The sequence below is a fragment of the Homo sapiens genome, chromosome 3 (assembly GCF_000001405.40).
Source record: "Homo sapiens chromosome 3, GRCh38.p14 Primary Assembly".
Classification (NCBI taxonomy): Eukaryota; Metazoa; Chordata; class Mammalia; order Primates; family Hominidae; genus Homo; species Homo sapiens.
This window is the reverse complement of record NC_000003.12, coordinates 71942612-71958653: the sequence shown is the minus strand read 5'-3', so window position 1 is coordinate 71958653 and position 16042 is coordinate 71942612. Positions and strand designations below refer to the sequence as shown.

At 45.9% G+C, this 16042-nt stretch overlaps 1 annotated feature.

Annotated features, from left to right (window-relative positions):
- Positions 2689-2838: a silencer, noted in NCBI's record as "silent region_14524". NCBI's record gives its function as "represses an Ori minimal core promoter by ATAC-STARR-seq in GM12878 lymphoblastoid cells {active_cell/tissue: GM12878}" and the evidence as "EXISTENCE:reporter gene assay evidence [ECO:0000049][PMID:35858748]".

Here is a 16042-nt window from a genome sequence, read left to right as displayed (position 1 = left end):
AGAACTCTTGATACACATATCAAAATGTTTGGGGCCCAGACTCTCAGAGCTAAATCCCAGCCCTCTCAAATGCTTTCAGACAGGGAAGATCCAGGTTTCTTGAGACCCACAGCCTATAAATTGGTGAGGAGAGGAAGGTCCTTTGAGGAAAAACAAAAGGAAATTAGGTATGACAGCCTGCATAGAATGAGAAGAGAAATCACATCATGTCTCTTACTGCAGACTTAGAGTTGCCATTCCCTTTCTTCTGAGATCTCCTTAGGCAGTTTCTCAGGGATGCTTACAGAGATAGGTTGCTGGCTGCACCACGGCCTCCTCTCCTGGTTCAGCTGACAGAAGCAAGGACATCATCTGGAAGTCTGTTAGAAATACAGGGTCTCAGGCCCTGCTGATATGGTTTGGACCTGTGTCCCCTCCAAATCTCAAGTTGACATGTAATCCCCAGTGTTGGAGGTTGGGGCCTGGTAAGAGGTTGATACGGTTTGCCTGTGTCCCCACCCAAATCTCATCTTGAACTGTAGCTCCCATAATTCCCACTGTTGTGGGAGATAATTGAACCATGGGGACAGTTTCCCCTATACTGTTCTCGTGGTGGTGGGAATAAGTCTCACCAGATCTGATGGTTTTATAAGGGGAAACCCCTTTCACTTGGTGTTCATTCTCTCTTGCCTGCTGCCGTGTAAGATGCACCTTTCACCTTCTGCCATGATTGTGAGGCCTCCCCAGCTATGTGTAACTATGAGTCCATTGAGCCTCTTTTTCTTTATAAAATACCCAGTCTCAGGTATGTCTTTATCAGCAGTGTGAGGATGGACAAATACAGAGGTGTTTGGAACATGGAGGCAGATCCCTCATTTATGGATTAGCATCATCTCCTTGGTGATGATGATGAGTGAGCTTTTGCTCTGTGTCCACACAGATCCGCTTGTTTAAAAGCATGTAGCACCACCCTACCCGCGCTCTCTTGCTCCTATTCTCACCATGTGACGAGCCTGCTCCAGCTTTGCCTTCCACCGTGAGTAAAAGCTCCCTGAGGCCTCACCAGAAGCAGATGCCTGCACCATGCTTCCTACACAGCCTGCAGAGCCACGAGTCAATTAAACCTCTTTTCTTTACAAATTACCCAGTCTCGGTATTTCCTTATAGCAATCCAAGAACAGTCCAGTACAGCCACCCTAGGCCCATTGAATCCAAGTCTGCCTTTTCTTTTCCTTTTATCCTTTTTTTTTTTTTTTTTTTTTTTTTTTTTTTGAGACAGGGTCTTGCTCTGTCACCCAACCTGGAGTGCAGGAGCGTGATCTTGGCTCACTGCAACCTCCACCTCCCAGGTTCAAGCGATTCTCCTGCCTCGGCCTCCTGAGTAGCTGGGATTACAGGCGCATGCCACCACGCCCAGCTAATTTTTGTATTTTTAGTAGAGACAAGGTCTCACCATGTTGGCTGGGCTGCAAGTCTGCCTTTTCATAAGGCGCTGGGGGATTGATTCCTATACACATTAAAGGTGGGTAGACATAGACTTTGTAGAGTCCTGTCAACTCCAAATGCCTCACCTTGGCTCCTGCCAGGAGCCCTGATGCTGACGTTTCCTCCTGTGATCCGTACACACTGTAGTCCAATCTGCCACTGGCTAATGCTACAGGGTGTCTGCCTGAGGGACCAAGACACTAGAGTCCTCACTGTGGCATTGCTACTGTCCACTTGTCCTTTATTAAGTGACCGTGGTGCATCCTAGCACAGTCAAAAGAGGGAGCTGTTGTACTGAAACAGAGGACTAGTGGGTCTTTATAGGACTTGGGACACTCCTTGAGGTGGTGGAGGATAGAGTAGAGGCCATCTGTCCCCTCATAGTTCCTCAGGCCTTAGTATTCTAGCCTTGGCCAGCACTTATCCACTGCTGAGGGCATTCTGGAACAGCTAGAACCCCTCCCTCTGCTAACAAGGCGAGCTGCAATACCAGAGAACGCATGCCCCAGGGTCTTTTCCCCATCCCATCCTACCCTACAGCCCTCAGCCAATGGCTGATGACAGCTGCAGCACAGGTGCGTGTTACACACTGGCTCCCAGGACACTTCAGCAGGATCATGCCCCTGTTGCCCACAGTGGTTACTTACTGGAGGGCACATCTCAGACTGGCATCCTTCCCTTCCCTGCCTCACTTCCCCCAATCCCTCATGAGTATTTCCTGGGGTTCCTTTCCAAATAAACTACTTGGACTACAATCTTCATCCCCGGGTCTGCTAGAAGGGAAACCCCCACCTAGGATTTGGGGTGGGGGTGGGGTGGGGTTAAGTAAAAATCCCAGGTTGATTTTTAATTTTTTTTCCTCTATGAATCGTGACAGCATCTGCAAAACTAGACCACTTCCTGGGAAACCATTCAGCTCAGCACAGGCTAGAAACTGTGGAAAGAACTGGAATGCAGACCTCCTGCTCACTGAGCAGGCAGGGCTTAAAACTGCTGTTGTGTTAACTCAGGGTTTCTCAACCTGGGCATCAGGACCACAGGATTCTTTGCTCCCAGGGTTGGGGGTGCTGCTCTGTGCGCTGTGTGATGTTTAGTAGCATCTCTGGCTTTTGCTCACTAGATGCAACTAACACACACACACACACACACACACATCCCATTGTGATAATCAAATATGTTTCCAGACATTGCCAAATGTCCCCTGTGGGGCAACAAATCGCCCCCGGTTCAGAACCACTGGGTTAACTGAACTCTTTCTTCTGAGCAATGGCAAACAAAACCCAGGCTGACTGTTTCCCACCTGCGGTGAAACTTGCAGTCCTTTGCTTTACCTCTGATGCGCCTGCCCTCTGCCCTGCCTGGCTTCAAGTCCTCATTATAAAACCCATTTGTCACCGCTTCCTTTTTGAGGATTAATTTCTAGATTGTCTGCTGATGGCTAGCTGGGATTGCATTTCTGGTAAAAAAGAAAAAAAAAGCCCAACACATCAGCTCCCTGCTGGTCTCAGAATTCCAGAGTGCCCTCAAGTGGCCAGAAACTGCCATCTGTTTGGCTGCCCTCCAAATTCCAGGCTGCTCTGGAAAGAACTATGGGGGGCAGGGACCTTCCCCTTGCTTGGTGCTTCTAGAAAATCTGTTTTCTCACAACGTGACAAAAATTCAGCAGTGTCTCCTTCAGGCTGTTTCTTGGAGCATGTTTTTGAGCGCATCCCTGAGAGGTTGATCCTACGGGCTGTGTGTGCATGTGTTATGAACGTGTGTGGTTTTCAAAGTCTGGTCAGTAATGAGGAATGCAAATGGAGTCAGTGCTGAGAGAAGGGGCTGCAGGCCACACCACCGTGCTGGGCACACATAAATGAGCCTTGCGTGCTGGCAGAGGGCAGTCAGACCCTGTCAGCTGTTACAACCAGGTGAGCTGCAGGGAGACCTCTGGGAAAGAGACCGCAGTCTTTATCCAAGTGGCCTCCGTTACCTGCAACCAGGTCACACAGACTCTGTGTTCTCTCTTGATTCACCAGTTTTAACATGTGGCAGCCACCAGAGAGAAACCAGGTCTAATTCTCCAGTTTTCCAGGCCTACTTCAGTTCCCAAGACTACCTTTTCTAGAGGGACGCTCCAAGAGATGGGGAGATAATGGAAGTGCCTAATCGCAAAGCCCTACAATATAATTTGTAGGAAGTAGGCAAAGTGCATGCAAAATGAACATTAAAAGCTAAGGAGCTATTCAGGCTGGAAAGAGGAGAGGTTTTCGGCATCGGGTGGTCTTCCAGCCTACCTGTCACTCACCCTCTTCAGGACTAGGCGGGGACCACTGTGCTCTCTGCAGACATATTTCAAAATACACTACAGCACACAGCACAGAGCACTCAGCACAGAGAACTCAAAACAGGTTTTTCACTTGCATGAAGCTCCCTCGGTGCCAACTCTATGTGGGCATTCAGTATTTCCCACTATCAAGCTTCACTGTAATTGCATAGGGTCAGATTCCTGGACAGACCGGAGGCTCTGGGGAAACACCAAGGCCTGTGTCTCTTCACAGGAGACTTCGGACACAGCACAGGGTCTGGCCTCCAGGGGCACACTGTCTTTATTTGTTGAAGGAACACTTAAATCAGAGATCGGTGGATTTTGAAAGACAAAAAAGAAAAGAGATGGAATTCATGTAAGGAAATGGCAGACCCTAAGACAGAAATGTGCTGAGTCTGTTTGGGGAATAGTGAGAAGGCCCATTTTGAACTAGAGAAGATGGCTTACGTAATGAAACAGTGAAGAATCATGCTGGAAGGTTGCTGAGGGGCAAGAGAACAACTGATCTTCATTTCCTAAGTCAATAAAATATTCACTAGCAGTTGGTCATGTCTCACCTTCTTTTTCTTGATGAATATCTTATAATGCCCCTTTACCACCCTGAAATGAAATTCATCTTTTCAATATAACCCACCTACTCGCATAATTTTAAAAAATAAGTATAATGGCCCAAGTCTAGTCTAAAAAAGAAAGAAATGTCATTTACAATATCATATGCATAGGCCTGGATTTATTAGGAGATATAATGAAGTAGTCAGATGTTTGCAACTCATAATGGAAAAATTTGAATATAAAAAATGTAAGGCAATATTCAGCTGAATATTCACACACGAGGAATCACTGTGGTGGCGAGAGCTGCAACTGTAGACTGTTAACAGGCGTATTGCTTCGGTGACTCTAATACCTTAAGGAGATTTGCTATTGGCAATGTTATTTTTGAAGCGGAGAAAAACTTTTGGCAAAGGTTCAAACATAACTAAGTGCAACTATCCATTGATTTACAGTCACTGTGTTTCTAGAATCTATAATACATATTAAGATCCCATGCAAAAAAAAAAAAACATTGTGCTAGTATGTAGCTGGAGAATTCAGACAGGGAACAGGACACAGAGCTTGACTCTGTGATGTCCAGGGCCATAGCTGGAATACTCAAAGGCTGAAGTCTAGAATAATCTGATGGCTTCGCTGGGGCTGCAAGACCTACTTTCAAGGTGGCTTATCTACACAACTGGCAAGTTGGTGCTGGCTGTTGGTAGGATGCCTCTCTCCCTGTGAAATTTCCCCACAGGGCTGCTTGAGTGTCCTCACACCATGGCAGCTGGCTTCCTCCAGAGTGAGCAATCCCAGAGAGAGGGACAAACCGAAGCTCTTCCTTTTACAACCTAGCCTCAAAAGTCACATAGCATCACTTCTACCACATTCTTTTCCTTAGAAGAGAGTCTTTAAGTCTGGTCTGCATTCAAGGAGAGGGGAATTAGGCTCCATGCCTTGAAGGAAGAGGTATCAACAAACTTGCAGACATATACTAAAACCACCATAGCTCAGATAACTTGCAATAGGGTTTTCAGGAACATTCAGTCTACTCAAAATTACATGGGATGGGCCGAGTGCAGTGGCTCACACCTGTAATCACAGCACTTTGGGAGGCAGAGGCAGGCGGATCACCTGAGGTCAGGAGTTCGAGACCAGCCTGGCCAAAATGGCAAAACCCTGACTCTACTGAAAATACAAAATTAGCCGGGCGTAGTGGTACGCATCTGTAATCCCAGCTACTCTGGAGGCTGAGGCATGAGAATCACTTGAACCCGGGAGGCAGAGGTTGCGGTGAGCTGAGATCACATCACTGACCTCCAGCCTGGGTGACAGAGCGAGACTGTGTCTCAAAAAAAAAAAACAAAACAAAGCAAACAAACAAAAATTACATGGGATGTAGAATAAAAATCCATAATGTGGGACAATCCCACATATTACAGACTGTCTTATGCTCTGTAACCCCATCCCTACTCCACCAAATGCCAGTAGCACATCTTTATCATTGTGAAATGCAAAACACCCCCTACACCTGCATAATTCTCTCTCCTTGAGAACCACTGTAATGGATCATAAGAACAACTAAAAATTTGGGTCAAGAAAGCAACAAAATCAGACCCAGGCATTATGATTAGTCTAGCAGCAGCATACGGGAAAGTCTTCCAATTACTTTTAAGATCTATGCCTCACACTCTGCCATCTCCCACAGCCTCCACTGGCACCAGTGCCCTTTAGGCTCCTTGTAAGCACTAAGCTCCCTCGTGGCTCAGGGCCTTTGCACTTACTGTAGATCTCTAGAACATTCTCCTGTTTCTCCCTTATACCCGCACCTTTTCACTCTCAGAATTTCTTCAGATAAATCTTCCTTCTTCTTTCCAAAGATACCAGGTTTCCCTGGAAAGCAAAGTTTTCCCAATTTGAGCACAAATTGCAGTTTTTAGTTATAGACTTGTGTGATTATTTGTTTAATTTCTGTTTCCCCATACAAAGGTAAGCTCAGTGATGGCAGAGGGAGGAAGGAAGGAAGGGACGGAGGATATGAGCCTCTTGTATTAGCCACAGAGCTGAGCAGCCTCAGATAACATGGAGAAGTTTACTATTCCTTTTGGGCACCCTGAATGAACAGCCCCACATATCACTGGGTGGAAGGAAGGAGCAGGAAGGGCCCCATCCCTACTGAAATATTGGTGAAGATATATATCTGACTGTGCCAGCACACACATAAAGAGGCATATTAGCTCCCCAGTTCGCAACGAAAAACCACAGCTGCTAATGGTGGTGTTGCTAGGTTGTTCTGTAGAGCATGATTTTCTGTTTCAATTACTGCGGTGGTGGTGATTTAGCAGCCAGACCGTCTGAGAGATGCTCCTAGGAGGTTAGGTTGTAAGGCCCATCAGAAAGAGATGGCTTGGGTTGGTTGGTTTCTCTCTCTCTCTCCATTAGCTTTTGCTGTTCACCCAAATAGACTCTCCAGTTTAGGCTGTGGCCATGTCATCACTGTGGGTGAGCTGGGCTTATTGGGGGTTCCTGCGGGGGCTTAGTGAATACTGTGCCATTGCTATTACCCTGAAGCAGGGCTATGCATTCTATAAGAAACCTTGTAATCACCACTTACAGAGAGTATTTATTGTGTGCCAGGCACCCTGGTACATAAACTTCCTGCTAGATTTGCCCTGACACAATCTCACTTCAGCCCCACAACTGCCTAGTGGCTTCCATTTTACACTGAGTTCACTAAGACCCGGAGAGGTTTTCAAACAGCTCCTTAAGGTTAAAGAGCTGGGACGCGTGAAACAGGAACTTGACTGAGATTCATCTGACTGTCCAGCCCGAGCTTTTTACATCACCCTGTACTGCTAATTCCTGCCCTCCTTCCAGCCAGGGCTGATACTTCATCCTGCTATCCCCATCATCATTCACTGGATCTGCCTGTAGCACCCCTGAAGGCTTTGGGTGACTTCCAAGATGTGAGGGAAAATGTAGGTGCAATCTCCATTTCACTGCCTTACCCTTGAGACTCCATGAAAGGCTACCTCTGGCATTCTGCACATGTGGGCTGGAGAATTTCTGTGGCCTCCCAGAGGCTAGGACTTGCATGTGGATCTGCCCGTAACAAGCTCTTCCATCTTTAGAGCCCTCCCAGGGGGACTTCTGTGTCTATTATTTAATTACATATTCAGTGTTCTGAGTCTAGTCCCCAGTTTCACAGGCATGCATGGCCCTTGTTGGTAGCAGCAAGGGTGGCAGTTACTGAGGCTCGCTGATCCCTGAACTAGACGCGGCCTTGGTAATGCCCTTGAAATCTATACACCAAATGTGGCCCCTGACTTCTGCTCCTCTAGCTCATCCACTCATTCTATAAGCTCCCAATTCCTGTATTCAATTATTTTCTATTTGAGATGACTGGAATGGTTTTGGTTTCCTAAATTCTGACTTACATGCCCTACTTCTAGTCCCTGAGATCCTGGGTCTTCCTCTATGATCTTCCTAACAGTATACACAAAAGCATCTCTTTTCTTTTTTTTCAGTTTAAGTTGGGTTTCTTTCTTCATTCTTTTCCAACTAAAGATTCATAATCAGTCACATGTATTATCTCATTTAATCCTCCCAACCAGCTTTTAGAGTAGATATTATTAACCCCATTTTGTAAATAAAACTGAGGCTCAGAGAGGTGAAGTGGAGGGTTCTGCTAGCTCTGTGGTATCTTCTGTGAATAAGAAGAAAATATCTGTTCCTGGAGAGTGAATTTCAAATTGGCATCCACTATGAGCAGGAGAATTACAAAAAGCACCCCTTCCTCTGGGCTGCTGTGGCCCCAGAGCCAGAGAGCACAGCTTGATGAGCAGAGCTGGGGATGGATTTCTAGCCCACACATCCTCTAGTACAAGCACAAAGGACAGGACACAACCGGCCATGTGCCTGCCTGGTAGCCTTAGTTAAATGTCTCACCCAGGGTCACACAGCTCCAAGTGGAAGAGAAAGGCTCCAGTCTCAGTTCTTTTTTCTCTCTCTGTCTCATTTCAAACAACTGTACTGTACTGCTGGATAATACTCTAACTTATTTGTTACTTAGCATTTGCATGTTTTCATGTTGTTGCTTAATGTTTCCTATCTGTGTATATTTATAAGTATTTCTTAGTGCCTGGTGTTGTGCCTACACTTTGTAGCTGCTTAGTAAGTGCTTACAGAATGAATAAATGAATGTGCTGTTTCCTCAAATAGATTGTAAACACATAACAATTAGCGACCATGGTTTCCAACCCTTTGACACCTCGATGCCTGATACTGTGCATTTGATGTATCAGTAAAGATATCTTCTTAATGATGAGGCTGATTGTATGCCATGAGTACTGGCAGAATTTGTGCTATTGTGTCATGGAGTTCCTTTGAGAAAGCTCCATGGAGGATCCTGACTGAGCCTTGAAGAATAAGCTTTCCAGAGAAAAATGGGAAGGGTGTCTGTCCTAAGCTGAAGGAATGGCCAACAGAAACGCAGGCAAGAAGGATGGGCATGGTGGGTTTAGAAGTGACAGTCAGGAGGTCGGCTCATGTAGGAGTGAGGATGTGTGTCGGGGGAGTGGTTGGAAATGAGATTGGCTGAAATTAATCCCAATCCCACATCCAGCTCCACCATATGCAATTAACCCAGACCTCTGTTTACAGAGAGGAATTTGAAGCAAAGGCCACAAAACCAATCCATCACAGTTCCCCAGGGACTCCAACCACAACCGATGACATGAACAACCATCAGTGTTCTTTAACTCTAAGAACTTGGAAAGACTGATAGCCATAAAAGACATCCTGTAATTAAAACTGCCAACCACTATCCATCTAATATTTCAGGCTCTGTGGGAGAGCACGGGGGCTGGGGAGGAGGAGGTAAGGGGGAGACAGAGGTTGGCATGTTTTACAAACTCTAATCAGCCATTTAGCCATACTTATACATCTGATACCTTCACAAGCTTGTCCTCTGTCATACAAATTTTTCATGACACAAATACGAGTGGTAATATTAGATGAATTGGTCAGGACCCTGACTGCCGAAATAAAAAGCATCTGGGGACCAGATTAAGTCCTAAAGAAAGCAAATTGTGTATAAAACCAAGGAACCCAACATCCTGGTGAGTAACTTCTGTGGTTTCATACCCAAAAGTATATGCCTACGTCTTGTCCATTTTAGTCCTGTTAGCCTGTTTGTGAAGTAAGGAGAAACTAACCCTTACTCCAAATAAGATAAGCATGGCTGGGTGCAGTGGCTTACACCTGTAACCCCAGCATTTTGGGAGGCCAGGCAGGAGAATTGCTTGAGCCCAGGAGTTCAAGACCAGCCTGAACAACACAGCAAGACCCCATCTCTAGAAAAAAAAAAAAAAAAAGAATCAGCTGGGCATGGTGGCACACACCTGTAGTCCCAGCTACTTGGGAGACTGAGACGAGACGATCATTTGAGCCTAGGAGGTCGAGGCTGCAGTAAGCCGTAATTGCACCACTGCACTCCAGCCTGGGTGACAGAGTGAGACCCTCTCTCTGAAAAAATTAAAAAGTCATAAATGAGATTAGCAGCGTAAGGCTTTTTAGATAGTTCCTGTCATACAACTGACAGTTCTGGAGTGGCCATAAGTAGCTGTTCTTTCCCCTCCTTCTCTTCACTAGCATGGTAATCTGGCCATGTCTGGCTAAGAACCTGTAGATGCCAGGTAGGAGTGGGGAATAGCTACGGGTTAGGAGAGACCTCTGGAAATAGGAGTGCGGTATCATGTACTCCTGCTTCTAGAATGTTCTCCATTCTTTATGTTCTGTGGTGTGTCTGCCCATCCTCCCCTGATTTGTTCAGGTCCACTTCTCATCCTTCCCCTGCTCTGCTCTGCAGCTCAGGGAGGCCAATGCTTGGAGAATATTTTCCAGGCTCCCATTCTAGCTGGTATCCACTGAAGCTCAGTCATTTGGAGGCACTGGTGGGATACTAGAGAGTCGAAAGGACAAACCGGGGAACTCCACTCTTCTGTCTGCTCAGGGGACGTCTTTGAGGCCAGCTACATCCTCCCTCCCCACATGGCTCCAGCTCCCACCAATAGGCCTACCGATGTTCCAGCTTCTGCTAGGTGATGCCAGTGCTGTCCTCCCAGCCTAGGAATGGTGGAGGCTTCCTGCACTTGCCCACTAAGCCCTGATGGCCATCTTGGTCTCTTCTATCTGGGGACCAAGACCTTGACTAAATTGCCTCTGTTTTAAACACCTAGAGTGAGATTTGTTCTCCTGGTGGAACCCTGACTGATACAGCCTTACTGGGAAAGCTCTAGTGCAATATCTCTATTATGATTTGCTGGTGGCCAGTATAACCATTGTCAATTTGCCCACAATTCTCAGGTTAAGAAATGTCCTATTTTTATATTTTCCTCTAATCAACTTAAAACTGGCTCCAGCCCGCACCTGCCTGGCTGGCTGGATGTCTGTTGTCAGGCAGCACCAGGACTCATCCTTTGTTCTCTGTATAAGAATTTCAGGCTCATCCAGTCTTTAGGGAGCAGGCAGGGAGCTGGTTCCTTGATAACAACAGGAAATCCTGTGGAGCATCATTCCTTCTGTTTCATTACCCTGCTGTCAATTTCAGGTTCTCCATCGCTTATCAGAGACTTCTTTTCTGGGTGGGCCACATAAATGTCCTTCCCAGTGGTCTTCTCTTCCCATCACAGCTTTGGCCTCAGGGGACCCTTGTTGATGCACTCAAGGCCACAGTGTTTAATGTCCAGCCTCACCAGCATGTCCTCAGAGGAACAGCTCCTTTTCAGGTGCTGCATGGGACCACCACAGCTGTAGTGGAAGCCACCACCCCTCACCCCATCAGTATCCCAAAGCAAAGCCATGCAGAATCCCTCTACCGGACACACGTCTGGCTCCATCCCCCCATGGGCCTGGCAGAGCCCTCCACTGGAGGGCTGCAGGCTGGACAGTGCCCATAGATATATTCAGTTGGGCTCTCAGAATGTATTTAACGTTCAAAAAAATTATCTGCAACATTCTAAAATCAGTAAGTTTTACACAATAGTCCAAACTTCCTTGTACCGTTGAAATATCAGAAAAATCCAACCACAATGATCTCACATATCCTGATGCCAAGAATGGGATAGAGCTGAGTAGCAGTGATGGTCTCTGCAGGAGGGGCGCTTTCTCCAGGCTTGGTTGATTCATGGGGCCTGACCTGCCTGCCCAGACACCAGGTGTGCCAGCCCCAGTTCAGCCCTTGAGAACAGAGGCCTGTGCCATTCCTTCTCAGTGCTGTGTTCTCCCACCCTAAAGCTCAGCTGGTCCCAGAAGGAGGGTGAACGGGACAAAATAACTTCTCAAACTTGTGAACCCATTATGCAAGTAACGGAAAACCACATCTGTCCTATTAGGTGAGTGCAAAAGTAACTGCAGTTTTTGCACTGTTGGCATTTGCCATTTGATATTGGAATACATTATTAAATAAATGTGGTTATGTTATATATCAATTTAATGGGCATTTCTCACTTTATGTCTTTTGCTAATGACTTATCACTTGTCATTTATTTTATGTTTATTTTGGACTATGGAAATGATGTTAGACCGCAAGCAAATTTGAGTGATTTTCTTATTTGAGTTCAAAATGGGTCATAAAGCAGCATAGACAACTTGCAACATCAACAATGCCTTTGCCCCAGGATCTGCTAGTGAACGTAGAGTGCAGTGGTGGTTCAAGAAGTTTTGTAAAGGAAACAAGAAGCTTGAAGATGAGGAGTGTAGTGCCCAACCATTGGATCTTGACAATGACCAACTGAGAGCAATCATCAAAGCTGATCCTCTTACAACTACACGAAAAGTTGCTGAAGAACTCAATGTCGACCATTCTATGATTGTTTGGCATTTGAAGCAAAGTGGAAAGTTGAAGAAGCTCAATAAATGGGTGCCTCATGAGCTGAGTGAAAATAAAACAAAATCATCATTTTGAAATGTCATCTTCTCTTATTCTACGCAACAATGAACCCTTTCTTGATCAGATTGTGATGTGCCACGAAAAGTGGATTTTCTACAACAGTTGATGATGACCAGCTCAATGGAAGGACCAAGAAGAAGCTCCAAAGCACTTCCCAAAGCCAAATTGCACCAAAATAAGGTCATGGTCACTGTTTAGTGGTCTACTGTCAGTGTGGTCCACTACAGCTTTCTGAATCCGGTGAAACCATTACATCTGAGAAGTATGCTCTGCAAATTGATGACATGCACTGAAAATTGCAATGCCTGCAGCTGGCATTGATCAACAGAAAGGGCCCAATTCTTCTACACAACAATCCCCAACCGTACATTGCACATCCCACCCTTCAAAAGTTGAACTAATTGGGTTATGAAGTTTTGCCTCATTCATTATATTCACCTGACCTCTCGCCAACTGACTACCACTTCTTCAAGCATCTTGACAACTTTTTGCAGGGAAACAGCTTCCACAATCAGCAGGAAACAGAAAATGCTTTCCAAGAGTTCATCGAATCCCAAAACACAGATTTTTATGCTACAAGAAAAAACAAATTTATTTCTCCTTGGCAAAACTGTGCTGATTATAGTGGTTCCTATGTTGATTAATAAAGATGTGTTTGAGCCTGGTTATAATGATTTAAAATTCATGACCTGAAACTGCAATTACATTTGCACCAACCTAATAGTTTCAGTAGAAGGTGGAAATTTATAAGGATATAGACATGTCTTTGAGAACTCAGGGGTGGAAACACACATGTTCTCAGAAAGGGACCAGAACTGGCACTTAGGAAGTCCAGATTATCTTTCCATCTCTCAACTCTGCTTTGATGTTTCTGCTTCATTCTTTCCCTCTCCCTCTAGAATATTCTCTTCTGCTTCTTGGTGAAAAATACTCCCCCTCATAGCTATCAGGAATGCATGGTGAAGATCCAGGCACGCCACAAGAACAACTCTCTCACTGGGTTCCACTTCCACATCCCCAGGGAAGGGACTCTGCTTGGCCCAATGTGAGTCAAGAGCCCACTGCAAAGCAGTCACCTATAGCCACAGGAGAGGCCACATGTTATCACACGTCACCAAATGCCTGCTGAACTAAGGGGGTGTGGTTGTTAAGAGGAGATTGTTGTGAACAGGGCAGACACTCTCAAAGTGTCTGCTGTGGGTGACTGTAGAGAAAGTAGAGAATAAAGTCATTCCCCTCTCCAGCCAACCCCACCCCTCACAGCCCACGTACCAAGGGTGGTCTGAGAACCTGGCAGAGAAAATGGCACCATGAGCAAGACATGAAAAATTCATTGATTGCCTGCCTGTCTGTGAGGGAAGCAATGCCAAGCTTCATTCATGCTCATCATTAATTCAATCCCAGGCTGGACTCTTTGGCTCAGAGCTTTCAGTTTAAAACAAATGAGCTTGGATGCACAGTCAGCCTACGGTTGTCTGCAGGTGATCTATGTCGACGTTGGCTTCTCTCTGGCAAACCCTCCTTTCAAAGTTATTGCCAGTTAACAGATTCTACACAGCCCTAACTACCCCTTGGAGGACATTTGGAGCTCCGGATTTGCAGTTAGCACCTTTCTCTGCTTAATTACAGCATTATGGATATCTCTGCACCCTCTGTTTACTTTGCCTGCTGAGATGCATGCTGAAAGCCAAGTGCCACCTGCCTGGCTCCAGGGAAGGTTAGAGAGGCAGACCTTTCATCAAGCAGAGAATAAGCTGTGTACCCCCAGGGAGCAGTGGCTGGGAGGAGCTGGGTGAGCACCAGGTGGGAAACTTGGCTCTCAGTTTCTTGCCTCTCCAGAGTGAAGTCTTTACCAAGGGGCCCTCTTTTGTTCTTAGAATGAAAACAATAGCTCATATTATTGAGTTCTTATTATGCGTCTATCACTTTGTTTGGTGGCCAGCCTCCAAGATGGCCCTCTGTCGTCCTTACCTTCTAGTACACATGCCCTTGGGTAGTCCCTTCCCACAATGAAGCAGAGTTGACCTGTGTGAGCAGAAGAATATTACATAAGGAATGGTATGTGACTTCTGAGGTTATGCCATAAAAGACATTGAGGCATCTGCCTTTGCCTCTTGGATAGCTTGCTCTGGAGGAAGGCAGCTGCCATGTTGTGAGGACACTCAAGCAGTCTTCAGGAAAGGCCTGTGTGGGGAGAAACTGATGCCTTTGGCCAATATCCAGCACCAATTTGCCAGCCATGTGTGTGAGTCACCTTGGAAATGGATGCTCCAGCCCTGATTAGGCCTTCAGATGATCCCAGCCCCTAGCTTCCAAGTCTTCCAGCTGCAGCCCCCCAGATAGTGGAGCAGAGCTAAGCGGCCCCAAGTGTACTCCATCTGAATTATCCATGCAAACTGTGAGGTACAATAAATGATTGCTGTGGTTTCAAGTCATTAAGTTTTGGGGTGGTTTGTTAGAGAGTACAGTCGATCCTTGTACAAAATGGGTTTAAATTATGCAGGTTTACTTATATGCAGGTTTTTTTCAATAAAAGTTACATTGAGCATGCCTGCCTCTCCTGCCTCCCCTTCCAGCTCCTCCACCTCTTCTGCCTCTGCCAACTGGAAACAGCAAGACCAACTCCTCCTCTTCCCCCTCCTCCTCAACCTACTCAACTTGAAAACAATGAGGATGAAGACCTTTATGATTAATGAATAGTAAATATATTCTCTCTTCTTTAAGATTTTAATAACATTTTCTTTCCTCCAGCTGACTCTATTGTAAGAATACAGCCACCTATATGCTTCAATACATGAGCATACAAAATATGTCTTCATTGACTGTTTATGTTATCAGTAAGGCTTTTGGTCAACAGTAGGTTATTAGCAGTTAAGATTTTGGGGAATCAAAAGTTATATCCAAATTTTCAACTGTGTACCCTTAGCCTCCATGTTGTTCAAGGGTCAGCTGTAATAGATCACTAACATGCTCTGTGTGTGCTTTAGAGCAGCAGTCCCCAACCTCTTTGGCACCAGGGACTGGTTTCATGGAAGACAATTTTTCCACTAATAGGGGTGTGGGGATGGTTTTGGGATGACTCAAACACATTACATTTTTTGTACACTTTATTTCTATTATTGTTACATTGTAATATATAATGAAATAATTATACAACTCACCATAATGTAGAATCAGTGAGATCTCTGAGCTTGTTTTCCTTCAACTAGACGGTTCCATCTTGGGGTTATGGGAGAAAGTGACTGATCATCAGGCATTAGATTATCATCAAGAGTGAACAACCTAGATCCCTTGCATGTGCAGTTCACAATAGGGTTTGTGCTCCTTTGAGAATCTGATGCCGCAGTTGATCTGACAGGAGGCGGAGCTCAGGCAGTAATGTGAGCAATTGGGAGCAGCTGTAAACACAGGTGAAGCTTCACTGGCTCTCCCACTCCTCACTTCCTGCTGTGTGACCTGGTTCCTAAAAGGCCACAGACTGCTACCAGGGCGGGGGACGGGGTGGGCGGTGCGGTTGGGGTTGGAGACCCTTGCTTTACAGCATTATTTCCTGTAATCCGCACAACAGCCTACAAGATAGATGCTATTAGCCATCCACATTTCACACATGAGAAAATAGAGGAACAGAAAGTTTTCTTGCTTACCAGATCCATTGGTGGTTCATCCATATCCCCTCAGTCTTCACCCTCCCAGTCCTTGCCACATCCTACCGTCCTACTGCAGGTACCTGCAATTCTCCATCTGAAAGCTTTCTCTCCACCCCCACATGGGGCAGGCCAGAGCTACCA